At 40.2% G+C, this 22,884-nt stretch overlaps 1 protein-coding gene across 1 annotated transcript in view; it reads right to left on the minus strand.

Annotated features, from left to right (window-relative positions):
• Nucleotides 1-5,121: 5,121 nt before the first annotated feature.
• SFMBT1 (Scm like with four mbt domains 1) overlaps nucleotides 5,122-22,884 on the minus strand; it is a 142,502-nt gene continuing 124,739 nt past the window's right edge. The window contains exons 12-21 of the mRNA NM_016329.4: nucleotides 22,087-22,200; nucleotides 20,034-20,076; nucleotides 17,700-17,764; nucleotides 15,028-15,167; nucleotides 14,088-14,197; nucleotides 12,553-12,728; nucleotides 9,105-9,283; nucleotides 8,619-8,864; nucleotides 7,663-7,791; nucleotides 5,122-6,826 (exon numbers count right to left, since the gene is read on the minus strand). Of these exons, the coding sequence (NP_057413.2) occupies nucleotides 6,686-6,826; nucleotides 7,663-7,791; nucleotides 8,619-8,864; nucleotides 9,105-9,283; nucleotides 12,553-12,728; nucleotides 14,088-14,197; nucleotides 15,028-15,167; nucleotides 17,700-17,764; nucleotides 20,034-20,076; nucleotides 22,087-22,200 (1,343 nt within the window). The 3' untranslated portion in view covers nucleotides 5,122-6,685. The remainder of the gene's footprint in view (nucleotides 6,827-7,662; nucleotides 7,792-8,618; nucleotides 8,865-9,104; nucleotides 9,284-12,552; nucleotides 12,729-14,087; nucleotides 14,198-15,027; nucleotides 15,168-17,699; nucleotides 17,765-20,033; nucleotides 20,077-22,086; nucleotides 22,201-22,884) is intronic.

A 22,884-nucleotide genomic window follows, 5' to 3' on the forward strand; every position in this document is an offset into this window, starting at 1 on the left:
CAGAATGTCAGTGAACACATGGTGTAAGTCCAGTTGACACTCACCCATTCTCCCAGCCCAATCTGGGCTCTCTCTGGATACCTTCTTGTTGGTGCTCTAGAGCCGCTGACCTTCCTGCTGCAGAATGTCAGTGAACACATGGTGTAAGTCCAGTTGACACTCACCCATTCTCCCAGCCCAATCTGGGCTCTCTCTGGATACCTTCTTGTTGGTGCTCTAGAGCCGCTGACCTTCCTGCTGCAGAATGTCAGTGAACATATGGTGTAAGTCCAGTTGATACTGAGCTACGTGTTTTCAACGGTAAATATCATCTCTAGGAAAAAGTTTCCTATTAAATAGCCCCCCAAATTCCAATTACCTAAGAGGGTTATATGCTAGCTAAAAGCTTTCTTGGTGAACAGGAATATTAACCTGATTAGAGAATAAAAATGCAATTCTCCAGCCTTCTCTTACATTTTCACACCTCTGTGCCTTTATGTAGCATTCTAGCTGCATGGATGCCATTCCCTTTTCCCTGCTCCATGAACTGCTCCTCATGTGTCAAAGCCTTTCTGACCTCCCTCTCCCTCTTGCTCCCACATTACCTAGTGTGTACTGTTCCACCAAAACTTTTCAGACTGCTAAATTTGACAGCTGTACACATGTCTCTCTCCCACAGCTAAGTGTGAGCCTCCTGAGGGCAGGAATTATTTTTATTTACCCTTCAATTCAAATTCAGTATGGTGCCTGGTACAGAGAACATGCGACAAAATGCTTAATTTAAATGGAATTTTAATTTATAAAATTTTAAACTCTCCACAAGTACTGGCCGTGGGCAAATACAGAAAATCAGATTAAAAAAATAAATGGATAAGGGAAAATTAAAATTGCATGACTGTCTTTTAGTCTAAGAGGGATCTTATGAGGATGCTCAACAGTTAACAGTACATGTTTAGAGAGAACCAAACAAGAGGCTACGTCTTAAAGCAGAATAGATTGTGGTTGGGCATAAGGAGACTATTGATTGCTTGAAGACACAGACAGCTCAAGGAAAATTGGACATAGAGCTGAAAAGTGATGTTTTTGACAAAGAATTGTTCTGCACATCCAGCTGTGGAGGAATCCTTAAGGCTCACAGAGGAACAAACAAGAAGCAGTCTTCAGAGATCAGGGGCGGAATCCCCAATGTCAGGAGCAAGGTTGCTGTGGGGAAATTCTACTCTTCCTATCTTTCCTGAACTGGAATTAAAAAGCACCTAAATCCAGAAGGTAAAGGATGAGACAGCAAGAGAGGGGGAAGAATTCCGGAGTTTTATTAAAGTAGGAAGGAACTTCTCATCTATTTGGAAATGATTCTCTGAGGTCCCGCTGGAAAGAGTTTTAAAAAATTTACTCTGGCCAAAATGCCTTCCTTGTTGTCAAATCAGCACAAAGTTAAGGTTAAACATAGCTTAAGACCTGTTCTCTTTAGTTTTCTCACAACCACTTAAAACTGTCATAACGTACCACCAGTTTATATACAATCATATTTACAAAAAAAACACGCAAAATATTAATCCAAAATAGTTTTTTTTAATCCTTTGAAGTTATACCATCAAACTTGATGGTAGTTATTTTAATAGGTATTCTTGTGCATACTTCTTAAGTGTACTTTTATCTTTAATGCATAACTTTTGAAATTAAGAGGAAAAACAGCAAGCAGGAAGGATACAATGCAATAAGCATTTGATTTTGTTCTAAATGAGCAGCTTTAAAAAAAAAAGGTAAAATACATTAAACAAAGTGCATCAGTTCCAACAAGTTAGTATTAAAAAGAGGCCTAAGGACAGTGCTGGAACCAGCCAGGAGTCCCTCCCTGGCAGGCCTCTGATTGTCTTCAGAGAATATTCAATGAAAAAAAAAAAAAAAAAAAAAAGGAAGAAAGGAAGGGAGGGGAAAAGAAATGAGCACTTGAAATCTCAAGGGAAACATTCAAACTACCGTCTCCAGAGATTCTTGCAAAAGGAGCTAATGGACTGCCCAACTTTAACTCTGCCTAAGCTTTGTAACCTCCCTCAATCATCTGCTTTGTGACTTGATTTGCCCTAAAAGCCTACCCTCATCCTTTCAGCACTTTTGTCCACCTCCATTCTGCCAAGCTAGGTATGCAGTTAGATTGAATAAACCATGTAGAAACCCTCAGGCCTGAGTTTCCACACATCCTGAGAACAGGCACCCCCATCAGCAAATGGTGGCACCATTTCACTAGAAGGCACCATTTGCCTCCAGAAATAATGGGAGACCCTTGCCTCCCACAGATCAGGGTCCGTGCTTTTCTGCTGGTGTTGGAGACTTATCTGGCAAGGCTGTGGCTTGCTTCTCTCTTAAAACAGTCCTTTGTGATAGGCCATAGCACCAGGACAGACCCAATGGTGTATTAAGTCAAAAAAGACTCAAGAAGAGGGAGTTTTAGGCCTACTTCTCTATCTCCCCAACTCTCCACTCCTGGTTTTGCTGGTTCTTGTGAAAATCTCAGGCTTCTTAAACACCATACCCAAGAAAATGACTCTGCAGTGCATTTGCTGCCCACCACCTTCTACACCTCCCCATAAAGCTGCCCTCAGAAACAAGGCTACCTGTGTGGTCTGGGACAAGTACTGAAAAAACACCCCTGAAACCACCCTTGGAGTGGGCCTGGAACCAGATCCAGTTCGACTGAGCATTGAATTTAAAACTTATGCCCAAACTCTAAGTCATAGGTAGCTTGTTTGGATAAATTCAAGTTTCCAAAGTATGCACATTCTCACATAAGGGGTGGGAGTCATCAAAACTCACTAGTAAAACATCTAAAGTGAACAAAGTCAAGGAAGAATTATAATCGCAGGAAAGTAACATTTCTTTTTGGTTTTGCAGGAGGCTCTCTGTCCTACGATTTCTGAGTCAGCACCATGACAAACATATGGTTGCTTACAGTGGACCCAGGAGCAAGGAAATCCAAGCTTGCAAAGGGGGCATCTGGTCCCCACCAAGATTTGTACTTCATTTTTTGTAGTGATGCCTTCTACTCATTTAACTTCATAAGACCAACAGATTTCCTACTGATAACACAGAACACTTCTGAACTGGTGTGTGCACACACGGCACATCCTCAATATACAGGATCAGAGTTCAAATCCAGGGTGTGTTCCACTGTTGATCAATTAAACCAGTAAATGGTGTCTCAAATAGAACAATCTTTGGTGATATAGGTGCCAAGTAAATATAATTGCCTGTGATAGTTTTCCCAAATGTTCCCATCTAGATTGCCTGATATTCTATGTGTCCCTCAGAAACACTTTTTGGCTTGAGAGAGGGAAATGATTCTGAGTCCCACCCTACCTAAGGCCTCCTAAAGCTTTTAAATTGTATTCAGGTACCACATTCGTGACTGAATTGGTACTAGAGAGCAAGTAAAGTGTATCCAGGTCCTCTGGAAGCTAAGGTCCAATGTCTTCTCTCTCACAGTGAGAATATTTTACTTCCAGGAGAAAAGGCATATTAAGGCTAAGTTCTGAACTAGTTTTCTATGTTTGCTTCTACCATAAGTCAATAAATATTTATCAAGAAGCTCATCTTTTCCAGAGGTTAGTAAGTACCCTTCCCTGACCTCACATATCTATAACATAGATAAATGCTAGGAGCCACCTGCATTGCTGAACAAAGGCAGATAGCGTGCAAGCTTCCATAAATGCATTCCCTGCATTAGCCACTTCAACTCTGCTTCAAATGAGAAGGATGAAGATGGTGTACAAAGGAAAACAGCATAGTCCCCAGAAGCCCTCAAAATCTAGTCAAAATGTCACAGAAAAATCTGCATGTGCAGCAAAAAGGTTTCCCTAGCACACTAATTGAGCAGTAGTAGTCTAATATTGGTCAGCCAGCTTTTCAAGGTCCAGGAGGATGAAGTAGTCCATTAACCTGTTTTCTAAACTTGTCAATTCAGGGTAAAAAATGGGTCATGAAAAATTTTCTGACCTCAGGCAGGCTGTGGGCCCAGCTGCAGGTGAAATCCAGACAAATGCAGTCCCTTCACAATGTGACTGTTACACATTTAAGAAGTTGGTCTCTCTAAAAAACAAAGTTCTTGCACCTGTGTGCAACATACCAACATTTTACCCCAACATGGTGAGCTATTATCTGGCTTGAAATCTGTTTCAGCATCACAGTAACCAGAACATCATTGTTATCTAGCCCAGTCCCAGCAGCTTTGTGAGGTAAATTAAGTCCAAACTTTAAGTTAAAAAAGTGCCCTGTGCTAAATTCCCAATTATCCTTGCTTACATAATATACGGGAGTCGGCGCTGGGGGATATAATTCTTTATGCAATTGCCTAATAAACTATGCCTTAATAGGAGAATGCAAGAAATATTAAGGGAAACTCAACTTACTTGACCATTTAGAGTCAGCCTTTCTCTAGGAACGGGCTGAGCCTGAATAATCATGGTATAAACAAGCCTGTTGGGCTCTGACTCTACCTAGATCAGAGACTACGTAGGGCTGTATGTTTTGCCCTTCAGCGCCTTCATCCCCTCACCTGTGAAGGGAGATGATTCTTAATTCTGTGGTTTCTGGAGAAGTCAAAAGAGAGACAAAATAAAGCATTCATTGTTCTTGTGTTTGGTAAATTCCCTCTTATAGGAAATATATTTCACTTTCCTAAATAAGATAATAACACGAGGCCCTAAACATTAATTCCAGAAATTCTGTTCCATTATTCTTCCTCAAGGGGCCCTCTTTTCCTTAGTACCTTGACTGAACTCTCAGGAAATTTCATTAAGCAAGATTACCACCACTACCCACCAAAAGCTTAATGTTTAATGCTAATTATTCCCTAGCATTCCCTATATATCCTTGTCTTCCACAGACACAGATTTAAATTTTTAAAAACTGGATCTCTAAGTTTCAAACATACTAATTTTTACTTAAATGAAGCTTCTTCCCAGATAGATCTGGTAGGAACCTAAGTGAAGAGTTAATGATTTAATGTATGATTTAGTTGCAGGGCTTGAGTTAAGTTGGTTTATGAATTACCCAATGAAGAGAGGCTCCAGATTATTCATCAATGTCCACAAAAATAGGTTGGGGTGGTGGGGAATGGGAAAAAAAAATCACAATCAGTTAAAATTTGCTGTAATATTTCCTTATATTTGTAGAGCTGTTTAGAATTCACCCAGTTTGCAGGATTAAAACATTTTCAAATCTTGAGGAAGAATGATTGGGTTATAAATTTGCAGGTGATTAGGATAAAAAAAATTCAGCAAAGCAAACCATTTAAGGGAGACAACCTATGTATGTTTTTCCTCACTCCTCATGACTAGAATAGTGCAGCAAACGCTATTATTCTATAATAGCTAGCAATGGAATAGTAAGTGAAAATTCACCTGGAGTTTCATGTTAACTTGAGCTGGGCTAAAAGACACACTTAAAAGAATACTGAGTTGTTTAAATGGGAATCCTCGGACTAAAGATTATATTCAATTTAAAGGATTAGCTGAAAAAAGTCTAAGTGTGGCTAGGCAAAGAGGTTTCCAGAATCCTTAACCACATCTCAGTATTTATCCTGCCACTGAGGACACTGCTAACAGAAACTCCATGCTCTGCGTTACCCTCCAAAACATGTTTTCTGTGCTGTGCTTCTACACTGGAGACACCTGGAAAGAAGGACAAATGGGCTTCGCTGTGGGTCCATGGAACACTTACTGATTTTCACCCAAAGTAAAGACCTTAGAAATGAAACAGAGGTAGACAAACAACTCTAGAGAAAAGTAAACACAAAATAAAAGTCACTGAAGTCCCTCTGAGAATGAATAGGAAGAGGGCAATTAAACAGAAATACTAACAGTCTTGGTGATGTTACTTAACACAGGCAGCCTCGGCTGGGTCAAGATGGAGAACAGTAACAGTAGAGTTCTCAGATCAGGTCAGTTAAGGAACTGGTGTAAGTGCCCCATATAATGTTTTTAAGAAAGCAAACAGTTTCCCCCCCTCCAAATTCTGTCATAATTTTAGTGTTTATGTAGCTTAAAAATGGCATCATACAAAAAACCTCATACATGGCTGTAAGCTCAATTATCAACAGAGGTAGTAAACAAAGGAACTCCTAAGAATCGATTTTAAAATGATCAAAGTGTGACTATACATTCAAAACCCTAGAGCCACATAATCATCCCCAAAATGAACTGTTTTAATTTTAAAAAGTTTAAAAACACAATGACAATGAAGCACTGATATGCCTTAGGAACAGTCCCAAATCAGTGCTGACTTAAAGCTAAGTCCTCTCTTTCCAAGAAAAAGAAAGCAGAGAACAAAGTTCAATCTACAATGGGAGGGAACAGAATGAAAACAACCAAAAGGGTGCTTTCCAGCAGCCTAGGTTATTCTTTGTTTTCAGGCCACACCACTGGAAATGCTTTTCTTCTTATATAAGTCTTTTCCTCACAACCTTTATTTTTTAAAAACTGCCATCTGCTGAACAAGAGATGTCCACATTTCCACCAGCAGGTGATCCACTTCTGTGCACAGTTTTTGCTTCCTCACTGTGAGTCCTCCTTCCCCGAAAGTGCAAAGAGAGCAAGCTGATACCTGCAGGCCCCAGAGCCCCAGGACTATTCCAGCTCCACTTATAAAGCAGGGTGAAGGATTTGCTGCATTTGTGCTTCAAAGATCCAGCTCACTTTGGTTGTCCTTCTCAGTTGGCAAACTGCTCATAAAAAGCAAACTTGATCCTCTCTATGTGATGGCAAAGTTTGATGGCAGGGCCCAATTTTAAGTCCATGCATTCTTGAACAGTGGGAAGGGTAAGGAGCAACAGGGCCTGCCCATCAATTTCCTGTTAAAGCATAAAAGACAAATTATCTGTGATGTGCACATGAAAGGCAGCTTGATCATGACAGCCTCTCCTCACTTTAGCTCTGTCAAAACTGGAATCCCTATGCTTTCCTTTCCTTACTTTTTCGTCTTAGGTATCACACACTTCCTTTTAAGTGACTCCATAGTCTTCCACACTAATGAAGCTTCAGAATTAATAAAGTTTTACTGAGGACAATAAAGTTTTACCAAGGATAAGAATCCATTCCAGAGTCTCTGTCCCATAGAAATTTAGTAAACTGACTAGCCCTGTAACTGGCAACTAATTGTGCCATCTTTTTAGAGGGTTCCTTCTAAATCTGAAACAAAGGATTAACTATCAACTTCAATGTTTTCCTACTCTGTAACATTCATAAAAACCCGATAAGCTCTTGAATCTCCCTAATTTTCTAAACAAAACTTATTTCAATGTTTAAGGCCACTGACTGTGTTTCAGCAAGCTTGCCTTAAAACTTATCACCACTCTAGAGCCTAATGTGACAGATGCTATTTTTTTTTAAACAAGCAAATCATTATTTTTGAAAAGATGTGGACAATTAAGCATGGTATGCTTGATATTGGAGGGATGGAATCAAATTCTTAGGAAAAACTGGAATGCAATGATAATCTCCTTCAACTATGAAGCAAGTCTGATAAATAACTTTTTATCATCTTTGACTCCTAAAAATGGAATTAAGACAATTCTTGTCTTTTGGATCAAAACATTTTTCCTAAAACTTGTAAATAAATTGTTGACTATTACATCCATAATTTATTGCTAAAGAGACATTACTAAAAATTATAGGTATCTGTGATTACCTGGTCTAGGAATATTCTTGCTAATGGAGCACAGTCAGTGGATCTGATGAACCGCACAACGTCTGCCACACTCCACTTCAAGGGGTTACTGTCCAGGTGAAGCCTTTCAGCAACTTCGATCCTTATTTCCTTCATTCCCCACAACACAATCAAACCAAATGGTGTTACGGCTATTTTATTCTAAAAAAGTCTCTCTACCTAAATTCATAATCTTTCAAGACATGATTTAAAGTGGTCTTAGGACATGATTTCTCCCAGCAAAGATGGCAAAGACCCACGTGCATCAGGTACTCAGGAAATGTCTGTCTTTTATAATACGAAGTATCAATGGGAAAGAATTTATCTCAAAGTTCCAGCACAGATAATTTAGACAATTTAACTAAGAAAAACAGGGTGCTGAAGAGAAGGGGATGATAATTCCATTGAGAGAAGGCTTAACTAAACTACCAGGAGGAATCTTTACTGCTTCTGTTCATGGAATATTCTTAAAAAGCAATCTAGTTTTTGAACACTAAATTGTTCTTTAGTGTTATACATATGTTATAAAATGTTCATATGTATATAGTAAATAATATATTAAGCCAAATGGCTTAACCAGAATCAAAAGGATAACTTTTTTCTACAAAACCATATATATTATGAAACATATTAAAAAGGCAGTTTTCCCAAAAATAAATGACAAGCTACAAATAAGCTAGCAATGGGGCTTTTTTTGTTGTTGTTGTTAAAACAAGCAGCTACTCTGAGAGAGACTTTCCCCCTATAAGTAGATGATCTCAACTAATCCTTGAAACACATGTAAATCACTGCATTTGGGGTCACTTTACAAGAGACCCTGGAAATTCTACATAAGTCTGTATTGAAAGAAGTAGAATGTCAATATCACTAATAATCATATTCCAGATGGAAATTCCAGAGAGAAAGAAAGAAAAAAGAAACTATTTTTTAAATGGTACCTTTGGTGAAGGAGGTTTATTTTCATCGTCAGAAAATGAAAAGGTGCGAAGCTCCCTTTTTCTCCTTTGTCTATCTGGAGGCAGCGATGTGGATATCTCACTTTGGGTGGGAGAAGAGGAGCATGACTTTTTTTCTGACATTTCTGATTCTTCCTGTAGCTCATCCTGCTGCTCGGATGTACTGCCTTCACTTAGGGAATCATCATCCCCTTCATCTGGGTCATCCTCATCTTCACCCCCACTTCCCTGCAGGAAAAGGAGAGAAGTCTCATTGAAATTCAGGACATCAATCCCAGGTTTCATATGATTAAAAAAAAATAATAAAGAAAGAAAAGAAATTCAGGACAAACCAGTTCTTGGGCCACAAAACCATCTTCTATTGGCCAGAGATCTGAGTTAGAAAGACCTGCAGGTATTCTGTGTCCATACTATAAAGCAGTGGTCACTTGGCTTCAAGACATTACAGGCACATCACAGATCTCATACCTGGGGAGAGCCCGCTGGGGTATTATCAACAGATGCAGAGGAGCGTTTCTTCTTATGAACAAAAACATTTTTCCGCCTCTTTCTCCTCTTACTGGCTTTTTTCAGGGCACAAGCTAAGTTACTATGCCCACCAGGTGGCCTCCCAATTCTTTTATTTTTCTTCTTTCCGTAATAGTGTGCTAAATGTGGATGACAAAGAAAAATGAAGTAGCTTCATTATTTTTGTGTACCTCAAAACCACAAGAGATTTTATTAGCATAGCAAAAAACAGGTACATTGTATTTGATTGGGGTTTAAATTCCATAGAGTGGAATAAACAGATCTGAAGTGCACGGTTTGACTAGTACTGAATGATCCCTCCATATCAAAGTATATAGAACATCTTCAACCCAGAAAGCTCCCATGGTCCCTTCCCAGTCAGTACCCCTTACTAGAAGCAGCCACTATTCTAAACACTATCACTATAGATTAGCTTTGCCTCTATGGAACCACACAGTAAGCACTTTTTTGTGTGTGACTTTTTTTTTTTTTTTTTTTTGAGATGGAGTCTTGCTCTGTCGCCAGGCTGGAGTGGAGTGGCACGATCTCGGCTCACTGCAACCTCTGCCTCCCAGGTTCAAGCAATTCATCTGCCTCAGCCTCCTGAGTAGCTGGGATTACAGGCACACACCACCATGCCCGGCTAATTTTTATACTTTTAGTAGAGACGGGGTTTCACCATGTTGGCCAGGATGGTTTCAATCTCTTGACCTCATGATCTGCCCGCCTTGGCCTCCCAAAGTGCTGGGATTACAGGCATGAGCCACCACGTCCAGCAGCCATGTGTGACTTCTTCTACTAGGCATAATGTTTTTGAGTCGTGTGTTTTATTATATGTTTCTTTTCTATTTGGATATCTGGTTGTACCAGTGCTATTTGTTAAAAAGAATTTCCTTTCTCCCTTAAATTTCTTCATCTCTCTTGTTGAAAATCATTTAACCATGTTAAGTTTGGCTCTATTTCTGGACCCTGTGGTCTGTCCCATTGTTCTATTTTTTTGAGACAGAGTCTGTCACCCAGGCTGGAGTGCAGTGGCGTGATCTTGGCTCACTGCAACCTCCACCGCCTGGGTTCATGTGATTCTCCTGCCTCAGCCTCCTGAGTAGCTGGGACTACAGGCGTCTGCCACCACACGCCCAGCTAATTTGTGTATTTTCACTAGAGACGGGGTTTCACCATGTTGGTCAGGCTGGTCTTGAACTCCTGACCTCAGGTGATCTGCCTGCCTCGGCCTCCCAAAGTGCTGGGACTACAGGTGTGAGCCACCGCACCCGGCTTGACTATTCTTTAATGCCACACTCTTGATTATTATAACTTTATGGTTAAAAAAAGAGAGAGACTAAGTCTTCCAACTTTATTCTTTTTTCCAAATTGTTTCAGCTATTCTAGATCCTCTGCATTTTCATATAAATTTTAGAATATACATTCCAGAAATGAAACATACATATTCTAGCTGAGTTATGTATTAAAGTAATATCAAAATATAATACAATTTTGTGAAAAAAATGGAAATTTTCTAAAGGATACGAATCCATTTGACATCATTCAAATTACTAACTGGGAAAAATTATAACTGTCCTTCTAAATTCTAGGCTAATTTCAACTATATTATTGTGAAAGATAAATTCAGACAAAAGGCACAATAAAATCCACATATCTTCCCCTCACATATCTTCCTTCAGAGTAGTGTGCTTATATATGCATTTACATGAATAGTATTTTTCACTCAGCTCCTAATAATTGCAGTTTCCTAAACTAAGTGCTGAGTCTGATACAAGAAGCTAAGATAATTCCTACTCTTAAGGAGTTTACAATCCAATAAATATAAATAGAAACTAGAAGGTTAGACTTATAAGATTTTGTAATTTAAATACTGATTAGAAAGCTCGTCATACTAAGTATGGACCTTGGATCAATAGCATCAGTGGCATCTGGGAACTTGTTGGAAATGCAGATAGATACTCAGGACCCAGATACCCACAGACCTGATACATCAGAAGCTCCATTTTAACAAGATCCTTCAGTGATCTGCATGCACTATAGTTTAAGAGGCACAGATCCCTAAAAGAAATCTTTCCATTTTAACAAGGTAAAAATCCTCCTCTGTAGTGATTCTCCCAAGTGACATAGGGCTTGTAGGATTTAAGGAAAGGTAGGATCAGAATTTTGTCTTTGGGTGGCAATGCCTTGACAAGGCTCCAAATTGTAAATTTCATCCTATGTGACCCCTGCCCCAGTTTCTCAAAGAAGATAAGCAAGGACAGCGAATAGGTGCTATGACAGTTCAAGGTGAGGTTGCAACTACCTCCTCTCCTATTTCCACCTCCCCAACTAGTGTGGCTTCATTGCTGCTCTTCAGAGACACTAAGCAAGCTTCTGCCTCAAGCCTGTGCCCTTGATGCCCCCTCCCCAGAACACTCCCACCCAGCTCTCTGCACAGCTGGCTCCTGTTTCCTTCAAGGTGTTACCTGTCAGAAAGACTTCCCTGACCCCTTGCATAAACAGCACCCCACCTCCCAGCCTTCCTCACTGTCCTATTTTGCTTGCCCACCTTGCTTCACTGTTCCCCACAGTATTTCTCTAAATACTGACCCCTCTCTAAATTTCTTCCCTTGTTTGTTATCTGTCTCCCACATTAAAGGTAAACTCACTGAGGATAGGAATTTGTTTTCTTTATTGTTGTATCCCAGTGCTAGAGCAGCATAAGCACACAATGAGCACAAAATATATACTTGCAGATTGTATGAATGAATTACATATCCTATTAGATACAATAACTAATTTATATACATGCTATATATAAAAGTTGGCACACTAAAGCCCATGAGTCAAGTCTGGCCCATGACCTGTTTTGGTATAGCCCCCAAGCCAAAAATTACCCTTACATTTTTTAAAGGGTTCTTTTTTTTTGGAGACACAGAGTCTCGTTTTGTCACCCAGGCTGGAGTGCAGTGGCGCAATCTCAGCTCACTGCAACCTTCATCTCCCGCTTTCAAGTGATTCTCCTGCCTCAGCCTCCCAAGCAGCTGGGATTACGGGCAGGTGCCACCACACCCAGCTAGTTTTTCTATTTTTAGTAGAGACGGGGTTTCACCATGTTGGCCAGACTGGTCTCGAACTCCTGACCTCAAGTGATCCGCCTGCCTCGGCCTCCCAAAGTGCTGGGATTACAGGCATGAGCCACCACACCCGGCCAAAAGGGTTCTTAAAAAATGAAAACACAACACATAGAAAAAGAATATGTGACAGAAAGCATATGACCCACAACATGAAATATTTATCATCTGGCCCTTTACAGAAGAAGTTCGTGTGCCTCTGCTATATATGAATGTCTGTAAAGTAAAAAACTTTCCAAGATGTAAGGTATGGTCAGCTGCTATGGTTAACACATTGGAAAAACATGACTCACTGTATTTGGTCTTTGTAAGTACAGAACAGTTCTCAGAACACTTATCCAGAACCATCCGTGGACCGAAGAGGTTAGGACAGCATTCCAGTTTGATACAGGTTTGCCGGCAGAATTCAGTCACCCGATCTGCTGTTTTCACTATCTCAACAGTAGCCCGATAACTCTTTCCTTTATATCTGCCATTGGAAGACATCAGATGCCAAATATATTGGGCTAATGATTACCCAGAGAAAAATCAAACATATTAATACACCTAAAAAATATTTTTGCTTCTTGGAATATTCTATGTCCTTTATAGTTCAAGGGCCCTGAAAACAACAAGGAAGTTCTGCATATTGAACTTAAATCAAATTAAATCTGGTAAGCTATGACAACTAAAAGCTGAGTTATTTAAATTAGCAAAATTAAGCTCCTGCTTTCTGTTCCTAAGTTAAGGTTTTCAAATAGTAATTTCACTAACTGCTCTAAAAAGAAAAGTGACTTTTCACTAAGTCTTTCTTTACCCTTGGCAGTGATCCTCAGACTGTTATCCAAGGACCAGTATGACCTGCCAATTGCCTGCCATCCATCCATGACAAGATCAGAAAGCAAGAGTACCTGTTTATAACCTTTCACAGTAATTTGAAAAAGTAATTTTATGTCTCTTACATCTAATAACAAAAATTGTTCTTGCATTTTTATGTCTTAAATTTCTTATTTCCTTTTTGTTTTTGAGATAGAGTCTCGCTCTGTCACCCAGGCTGGATGAAGTGCAGTGGCATGATCTCAGCTCACTGCAACCTCCGCCTCCCAGGTCAAGAGATTCTCCTGCCTCAGCCTCCCAAGTAGCTGGGATTACAGGCACACACCACGACACCTGGCTAATTTTTGTATTTTGAGTAGAGACAGGGTTTCACTATGTTGGCCAGGCTGGTCTTGAACTCCTGACCTCAGGTGATCCGCCCACCTCAGCCTCCCAGAGTGCTAGGATTAGGGGCGTGAGCCACGGTGCCCGGTCTTAAATTTCGTATTTCTTATAATTCATTCTATCATATTTTATAAATGTATTGATCCATGAAAGAATGGAAATCTAAAAAAGAAAAACAAGCCTGGGCCTTCACCACAAATAGCTGAAAAAGCCCTGCCTAAGGAAACATAAGGCTTCTGATATTATCCACAGAACTGATTCTGTGAATTTTTTTTGTTGTTTTTTGTTTGAGACAGAATCTCCCTCTGTCACCCAGGCTACAATGTAGTGGCACGATCTCAGCTCACTGCAACCTCCACCTCCTGGGTTCAAGCAATCCTCCTGCCTCAGCCTCCCAAGTAGCTGGGATTACAGGCGTGTGCACCGTGTCTGGCTAATTTTTGTATTTTTAGTAGAGACAGGGTTTCATCATGTTGACCAGGCTGGTCTTGAACTCCTGACCTTGTGATCCGCCCGCCTCGGCCTCCCAAAGTGCTGGGATTACAGGTGTGAGCCACTGTGCCACGCCGATTCTGTGACTTTTTAAAGACAAGTAAAAGTAAAGAGTAAAAACAAGTAGTCCACTCACTTGGCTTTTAGGACTTCCCCACATCCGTGCCACACAGAGTCTTTGTCCAGCTGGAGCTCCCGAAGGACACGGCTGGGTTTGTAGGCTGCATTGATAAGTAAAGTGAGGACCTGAGCTCAGTTTTAAAGCAGAAACACAGATTGGGAAGGAGAAAAGCAGACCATTAGAATCTTGTCATCTCTTCCTTAAAATGTTAAGATTATTTAGGAGGTTAAATTCTAGTCATATGAATTAACAAATGTTAACAAAATAATAGTATCAGAGATATTACAGCCACCCAAAGGTGCAGATAAGAGAGTAACCAGATCCTTTTCAACATTTTTTAAATGTTACGGTCAGGAAAAAAACAGGTACCATGATTTTCAAATTGCTCCAGAACATGCTTCCAAATGCTTTCCCAGCCACGGTACACACAGAAAATTATATTTGTTTGGACCACTGTGTAGACAGCTGAGCCTTCTTGTGGCTGGAGGAGTCTGGTCCAGACGCTCTGGCTTCCCCAGATCCTGACTTGCCACCCTGAGGGCTGAAAGGTCTCTTATCTGTTACTTGCAGCATATCACACTGGCTGGGAAGAACAGAAAGCCCAGCAGATGTGTAGCTTTATCACGGTCGCTAGGTTAATGCCACATAGCCACGGCCTTTCAGTCATAGAGTAACCTCACAGTTCACTTTTGTATAGTTCTCTTCTGGTCTCTGACAGAAGACCTTTCTACCCTGACAGAGGTGAACCTGCTGTGTGAAGAGTTGTTTACGTGAATGTTTCCTAGGGAGGAGAAATAATTACATACCCTCTTCACTGTCCAAAACATGAGAAAAGTTAGTAACTTTTGATAAAACCTAGAACTGTCACATCTATGGCATGTGGCTCCCTGTAGAAATGACCATAGGAGAATGCTGTGAAATTTCCAAGTTATTTTGCTCTAGGCCAGAACCTTACCTCTCTAAGGACCAGAACACAGTTCCCAGGTCCTACACATTGAGGCAGCTCAGCAATTCTTCCTTTGTTAAGATATGGCCCTGAGAAGCAACGGTGGTTGAAGTATATCTTTGGACAGCAATATTTTCCATTAATCATAACTGGGAAATGAAGAAAAACAAATATTCAAAACAGTCATTCTCTACCCCACGTTTCCAAAGCTGAACTGCCAGGGAAGAAAAACGAAGCACATGTACCATTATATTAATATAAAGTTTGGAATTACTTATTTTGAAGCTTAACATGTTGTCTGAGAATGCTCTTAAGTAACTTACAGAGCTTATCACTCTGCTGAAATCAAAGAGGGTCCTGAATTAACATGCTGATTAGTTCCTAGGTTACTGCAAAATTGATAGAAGAACCCTATCTTCTATTAATAAAGAAAGTGGAGGGTGTATTTTAAGAACACATGAGGATTCTGGATGATCAATGATTTCTTTTCCAGGTCTTCAAAAACCAACTTTCAATCATCTATTCTGGAATATTTATAGAAATTGTTGAATATTATTGAGAATTAGTTTGTCTCCTAAAAACCACCAAACTAATATGTTGGCAGCCTTTGATGTTGTGAGAGCAATCCCATCTCTGAGATTTCTCAGAGGGCTAAAAGTATGCTGTGACCACATCTCTAAGTTTTTTTTGTACTGTGGGGTATAACTGGGTCTGGAGACCCTTTTCTTCAACTATTTGTCTGTATCAATACTGTCCTTCAATTTAATGTTTTTAAAAAATCCCCTCATAGTGGTAGGCATGTCAGCTGTTGAATGTAAAAAATTCAAAGACACTAAAATACTGCTATAAAGCACAGAGAAGCTCTTCTAATAGATATGCCTGTTAATCCAATGTTAAGGAAAGATATGCGCACACTGCCCATTGTTGATAGGATCCTGCAGTTCATAATGTTTTCTCTTTAATTAAGAATAGTCACAGCCAGGTGTTGTGGCTCATGCCCGTAATCCCAGCAATTTGGGAGGCCAACGGGGGAGCACATCGCTTGAGTCCAGTTTGAGACCAGCCTGGGTAACACAGTGAAGCCCCATCTCTACAAAAAACAAAAACAAAAACAAAAACAAAAAAATCAGCCACATGTGGTGGCATATGCCTGTAGTCCCAGCTACTCGGGAGGCTGATGTAGGAGGACAGCTTGAGCCCAGGAGGTGGAGGTTGCAGTGAGCTGATATCACTGCACTGCACTCCAGCCTGGATGACACAGCGAGACCCTGTCTCAAAACAAAACAAAACAAAAAAACGATGGTCTATCATAGTGGCCAGTATGCTGGTGCTCACATTTCCAGTTGAACCCTGCAACCCAAATGCCTCTTTTCAGAATTAAGGCACTCATACCCCTGCTGCTGGGTATGTTGGCAGCTTACAGTTCCCAGTTTTATGTCTATTCTGGAATCACCCTGAACTGGGTACTGCTCTCAGCAGGAGAGGGCCACCTTGCCCCTTGTGAGGTGGGGAGGGAGCAGTGGCTTACTTCCAATAACTGGTCAGTAAAGTGTGGCCACCACACCTGAATTAGGATCAACTCTGAGTGGTTAGATCAGCTTCAGGGCTCCCAGTGGAACTAGAAGAAACTTCTGTTGCAACTGCATCATGGTTCAACTTATCTCTCTGCCCAATCCTACTTCCTTTACTCCTTCTAAGGAGCTGTTCCCAAAAATACTCCCCAATGAAACTCCTGAATGCATATGTCAGAGTCTCAGACTCTGTTTCCCAGGGAACCTGACCTATGACAAAACCCAAACCAAAAGGCCTTGGCTGAGGTTGTGCAGAAGATATTAATGTCTTAAATTCTGTGGTTTCAGTAGGCATTCGAATGGCCAGGAAAGCATCAAAAGCAAGGAGTTACACAGTCCTAACCCTCTATGTACAAATGATGTAATGAAAAGGCAGTAGGTACAAGAGACGGAAGTACGGGTTTCTAATTTGTGAAAGACTTCAGTTTCATTTCTGGTCTTTCTACTCATAAGCTGTGTGATCTCTCTGAGCTTCGATTTCTCTTCTAGGCATTTACTAAATATCACCCAAATGCGCAATCTGTGCTAGAATACACACAGCCAGGATGCTAAACATTACACAACAAGCACGTGGAAGTTAAGAATAGTTCAAGAGAGGACCCTGGACAAAAGGCTTGAACCTCCAGCAAGGATTTTTCTCTCATTTATCAGGCATTAATTGCCTCTGGGACAATTTCTTTTTCCATTGCTTTATTTTTTTCACATAAACTGTGAAATTTATATACAAAGTATGCATATCATAAAAAAGGGTTTTAAAAAGAATAAACTTCTACCTCTCAACCATCTAGCTTAAGAAAGAACACTGCCTGGAAAACTTCAGGTTCTTTAGCTAAAGTCAAGGATGGTAACATTGGCCTTCTGAGCCGTTGGCACACAACGGTTGATCAGTAAAGAATAGCTACAATTATTAGAAATGGACGGAACTATCAGCCTAGAGATGATTATTAAACTAAACACATCTTAGACAGTTATAACTCTAAAGTCACAATTAAGAGACCCCTCTATGAAGACACATACTATACATCAAATGTACTGTTTTAAGTTATTTTCAGATATAGTCCATTAAAAGAAACTAAGTCTTCTTTTCCTTAAGATGACATGTGCTTATACCTGACTCTGTGGAGTTCAGCTCCTGATTCCTCAGGCCCTCGTGGACAGTCCTCGAGGATGGTACTCTGGGTCAAGAAAACACAGTAAAATAGTGAGATAATTCTTAAGATCAGTAAAGTGTGAGGCTTAGTTTCCTTCAAATCTAAGAAGAAAGCAAATGTGGCATGTTCGCAAAATCTGTAACAGAAGGTACTCCCTTGATGATACTTTTTTTTTTTTTTTTTTTTTTTAAAAGAACAAGGCTGGATGCGGTGGCTCACGCGTAATCCCAGCACTTTGGGAGGCTGACGTGGGCGGGTCACAAGGTCAGGAGATTGAGACCATCCTGGCTAACACTGTGAAACCCCGTCTCTACTAAAAATACAAAAAATTAGCTGGGCATGGTGGCAGGCACCTGTAGTCCCAGCTACTAAGGAGGCTGAGGGAGGAGAATGGCGTGAACCCAGGAGGCAGAGCTTGCAGTGAGCCGAGATCGTGCCACTGCACTCCAGCCTAGGCAACAAAGCAGGACTCTGTGTCAAAAAAACCAAACAACAACAACAACAACAACAACAACAAAAAACTACAACAACAAAAAAGAACAATTGTTTTTAAAACTATATATAGGGCATAATGAGCCAATGGACAGTCTGTATATAGCATTGTGATACTACATGTTCAAACTTTCTCTTCATTCACTGGGCAAAAAAATTACAAAATTTCTTGTGAGATGCTTAAATCACAAATAAACTACTCATTTTTCAACAGTCAAAGAACAGAAACTTTATATAGGGTTCGTTTTCTTCGTCCATCAGTTTTCAAATTAAAGACAAATTATGTTATTTAAAAAAAAACAGAGGCTTATTCTGTATGTAGCAATCACTGAAAAAAGGCTAATTTATCTTTTAGAATGCATCCTAACTAAAGCTTTGGATCAGTTTTGGCAACTAAGTCAAGGAAAAATCCAAGGTCAGTCTTTTTTTTCATTGTTACCTCACTTCTCTACTTGGTATAAATGTCTATGGCCTTTCTCTCCACTTCTGTTGTTAGTTTTATTACCCACATAGTTACAAAGGTTTAGGTAGTTATAGAATTTGCTATATACAGAATTGTTTCCTCCTACTCAAATTCATATGTTGAAGCCCTAGTGCTCAGTGTAACTGTATTCGAAGATAGGGCCTTGGGGAAGTAATTAAGATTAAATGAGGTCATAAGGGTAGGCTATAATCCAATAGCATTGATAGCCTTACAGGAAGAGAGGGGTCGGGGGGTGCCGGGGAGAGAAAGATTTTTCCACCATGCAAGGACACAGCCAGAAGACAGCCATCTGCTAGCCAGGGAGAATGCCCTCACTAGGAAGCAATCTACCAGCACCTTGATCTTGGATTTTCCAGCCTCCAGAATGTAAGAAAATAAATTTCTGTGGTTTAAAGCAGGGGTCCCCAACCCCAGGGCCACGGACCAGTACCCGTCTATGGCCTGTTAGGAATGGGGCCGCACAGCAGGCAAGGGAGCATTACGGCCTGAGCTCGGCCTCCTGTCACATCAGCAGCAGCATTAGATTCTCACAGGAGTGTGAACCCCATTGTGAACTGTGCATGTGAGGGATCTAGATTGCATGCCCCTTAGGATAATCTAATGCCTGATGATCTGAGGTGGAACAGTTTCATCCCAAAACCATTCCCCACCCCAGTCTGTAGAAAAACTGTCTTCCACGAAACCGGTCCCTGGTGCCAAAAACGTTGGGGACCGCTGGTTTAAAGCCACCGAGCCTGTGGTATTTTGTATGGCAGCCCCAGCAGATTAATAGAGAATTCAACACCCAATGTTTTAAAACACACATATACACACAGAAACATTTGTACTTTTAAGGTTTGAAGGCACTACTAATTAACTGTTTCTCAAAAGCTGTGTGTGCAGGTATGTTACAAACGAAGAATTTCTTGATGGGCACAAAGCCACTCCTTTGAATGTGCCTTTTCTTTTAGAGCTGTCTTCTACCCCAGCTTTATTTTTTTCCACTGTGACAAATCATACCCTAATTTACAATTTTTGCTCTTCCTTAATGAATACCAGCATGGGCACTCTTATTTTCTTTCTTTTATTCAACTATCTTAAGGCTCTAAAAGCCAAAGAAAACTCAATTTAGACACCATCTTGAGAATGCATTTTACCCTTTTGTATATAATGCCATTTTAGAAAATGCATATACTGCAAAGAGAAGTATACAAATGATCAAATGTTGAATTAAAAAATTATGCTTCCATCTGAGAAAATGAGGAAATATACCCTCTGAAATAGTTATTTTTCTAGATATTCTAACTTGTAAACTGTTCATATTATTACGTTACTTACTGTTTTTCTGGCTGAACCACTGCAATTTTCCTCTGTTTATATACTGTAGAAAGAAAAAAATATATAAATGCCAAGAAAAATAAAAAGACAAAGGAAAATTCATATGTGTATTAAGGTTACATTAGCATATTTAAAACCTGGTTCTGTGTGAGTGTGTGTGTATATATGTGTGTGTGTATATATATATATACACATATATATAGTACTATAAATTAATGCTTATGTCTGAATATCTAGACTGAGGCACATTTTCTTAGTAGGGATCTTTATACAAAGAGCAAAAATAATATTTTCAAGGCTCCCTGGGTCAGTAAGTGTTGGGAAAGCTCAATGAATAAAGTTGGACCCTTACCTCAGATCAGTGGTCCCCAACCTTTTTGGCACCAGGGACTGGCTTCATGGAAGACAATTTTTCCATGGACCAGGGGGTGGGGGGTCATTTCAGGATGAAACTGTTCTACCTCAGATCATCAGGCATTAGATCGTGCAACCTAGATCCCTCACGAGACAGTTCACAATAAGATTCTTGCTCCTATGAGAATCTAATGCCGCCCCGATCTGACAGGAGGTGGAGCTCAGGCACTAATGCTCACTCGCCCGCCACTCACCTCCTGCTGTGTGGTCCCACGGGTTGGGGACCCCTGCCTCATATCATATATAAAACTTAACCCAAAGGGGATCAAAGATCTAAACATAAATGTAAGGGTTAAAACTATAAAACTCTTAGAGAAAGTTTTATAGGAGAAAACTATAAAACTTATTCTTAATAGTCAAAAAATGGAAACAATTCAAATGTCCATCAACTGTTAAATAGATAAACAAAATGTGTCAGATTTATAGCATGGAATATTATTCAGCTATATAAAGGAATAAAGAACGGACACACACTACAACATGGATGAACTCTGAGAGCAGTACACTAAATGAAAGAAGCCAGTCACACAAGACCATGATCCCATTTATGTGAAATGTCTAGAACAGGCAAACCTATGGAGACAGAAAGTAGATTCGTGGATGCTGGAGTGGGGGTTGATTGCTAATGAGTATAGGGTTTCTTTCTGAAATGATGAAAATGTTCTCAATCTGACTATGGTGATAGCTGGTACGTCAATTGTAACACCAGAAAGCTGTTTAAAAAGGGGGAAACTGGGTTGCCACTTTCGAGGTTAGGTTGCAGAAAGACTCTGGCTTCCATCTTCCTCAACCTCTCTTGCTCTCTTGCTTCCTCACTCTGACAGAAGCCAGTTGTCATGTTGTGAGCTGCCTTACGGAGAGGCCCACATGGCAACGAACTAAAGGAAGGCTCCAGCCAACACCCAGCAAGGAGCTCAGGCCCTCAGTCCAAGAGCCCACAAGAAGATGCATTCTTGCTGCTATGGTCTGAATGTTTGTACTCTCCAAAATTCACATTGAAACTTATCCACCAATGTGCTGGTATGAGAAGATGGGGCCTTTGGAAGGTGATCATGTCACAAGGGCAGAACCTTCATGATGCAGATTAGTACTCTTATAAAAGAGATCCACAGAGCTAGTAGTCCCTTCTACCATGTGAGGACACAACGAGAAGGTGCCAACTATGGACCAGGAAATGCACCCTCACCAGAACCTGAATCTGCCAACGCCTGGATCTTGGGCTTCCCAGTCTCCAGAACTGTGAGAGATAAATTTCTGTTATTTATAAACTTCCCAGTGTATGGTATTTTGTTACAGCAGCTAGAATGCACTAAGACACTTGCCAATAATAATCTGTGTAAAGCTGGGAGCAGATCCTCCCCACGTTGAGCCTTGAGATGACTGGAGCCCTGGCTGACACTTTGAGTGCAGCCTGTGAGAGACTCAGATCCAGACGACCCACCTAAGTTGCACCCAAATTCCTGACCCACAGAAACTGTAAGGTATTAAATATTTGTTACAATAAATAATTTCCTATGCAGGAACAGAGAACCAGAATGTCATTTTTTTTCTCTGAAATGTCCAGATTAGTTTTAATTGGCAGCAGCCACACAGAAGATTATTTAACAATCAATCCTCTAACCCAGAAATAGACAGATACCTCGTGCTCGGCGAGGAGTGCTGAGGGGGTGGCCGTTGGTTTCACACCAGCCCAAAGGAAATATATCCATGGATTCCACACTCACAATACATTCAGGTATAGGCTTCTTAGAACCTGTTTAGATTTAAACAAACAAACAAACAAACAAACAAACCTTTTTTTAGACCATTAAATAACCTTCTTCATAAACTATTTTCTAGATAATGTTCTACTCTTATAATAATGCAGACACAAGTCTCTTGACACAGAAGTCATACATTTTCATGTATGATAAACATTATGAAAAAAAACTGTCTTCCATGTAAAACTGTATCAGGACCAAAATGGGTAGAGAATATACAGGGTGACACTTAAGCTAGGGAACAGCAAATAAGAAACTGGAACTACCACTGGTATCATTCAGATGGTTAATAAATATCACAGTCATTTCAGACAAATGGAAACCAAATGGCAAAGGTGACAATTTTACTCAATGAGAACATCAGTTCTGGTACTTCAGGAATAAGCCAGAAAAGAAGAACAGTGAATTCAAATCAGGAAGTGATTTGGCAAGCTGCTGAACAAGGATTGCATAAAAGTCTACATTCGATATTATCCTTGACATCCGCATTAAATGCCAATTCTACAAATCAGAAACAGTAGGTACCTTCTCAAAGTCTGACTATTTGGCAGCAGGATAAAAAAGCTGCTCAGGGCATATATGGTAACCGTAGCACTGAGTACTCACGCAGCGCCTTGCATCCACAAACCTGTCCAATTATTGAATATTACTTTTAGCACAGTTTACCATTTCTACTC

The sequence above is a fragment of the Homo sapiens genome, chromosome 3 (genome assembly GCF_000001405.40).
Source record: "Homo sapiens chromosome 3, GRCh38.p14 Primary Assembly".
NCBI classification, from domain to species: Eukaryota; Metazoa; Chordata; class Mammalia; order Primates; family Hominidae; genus Homo; species Homo sapiens.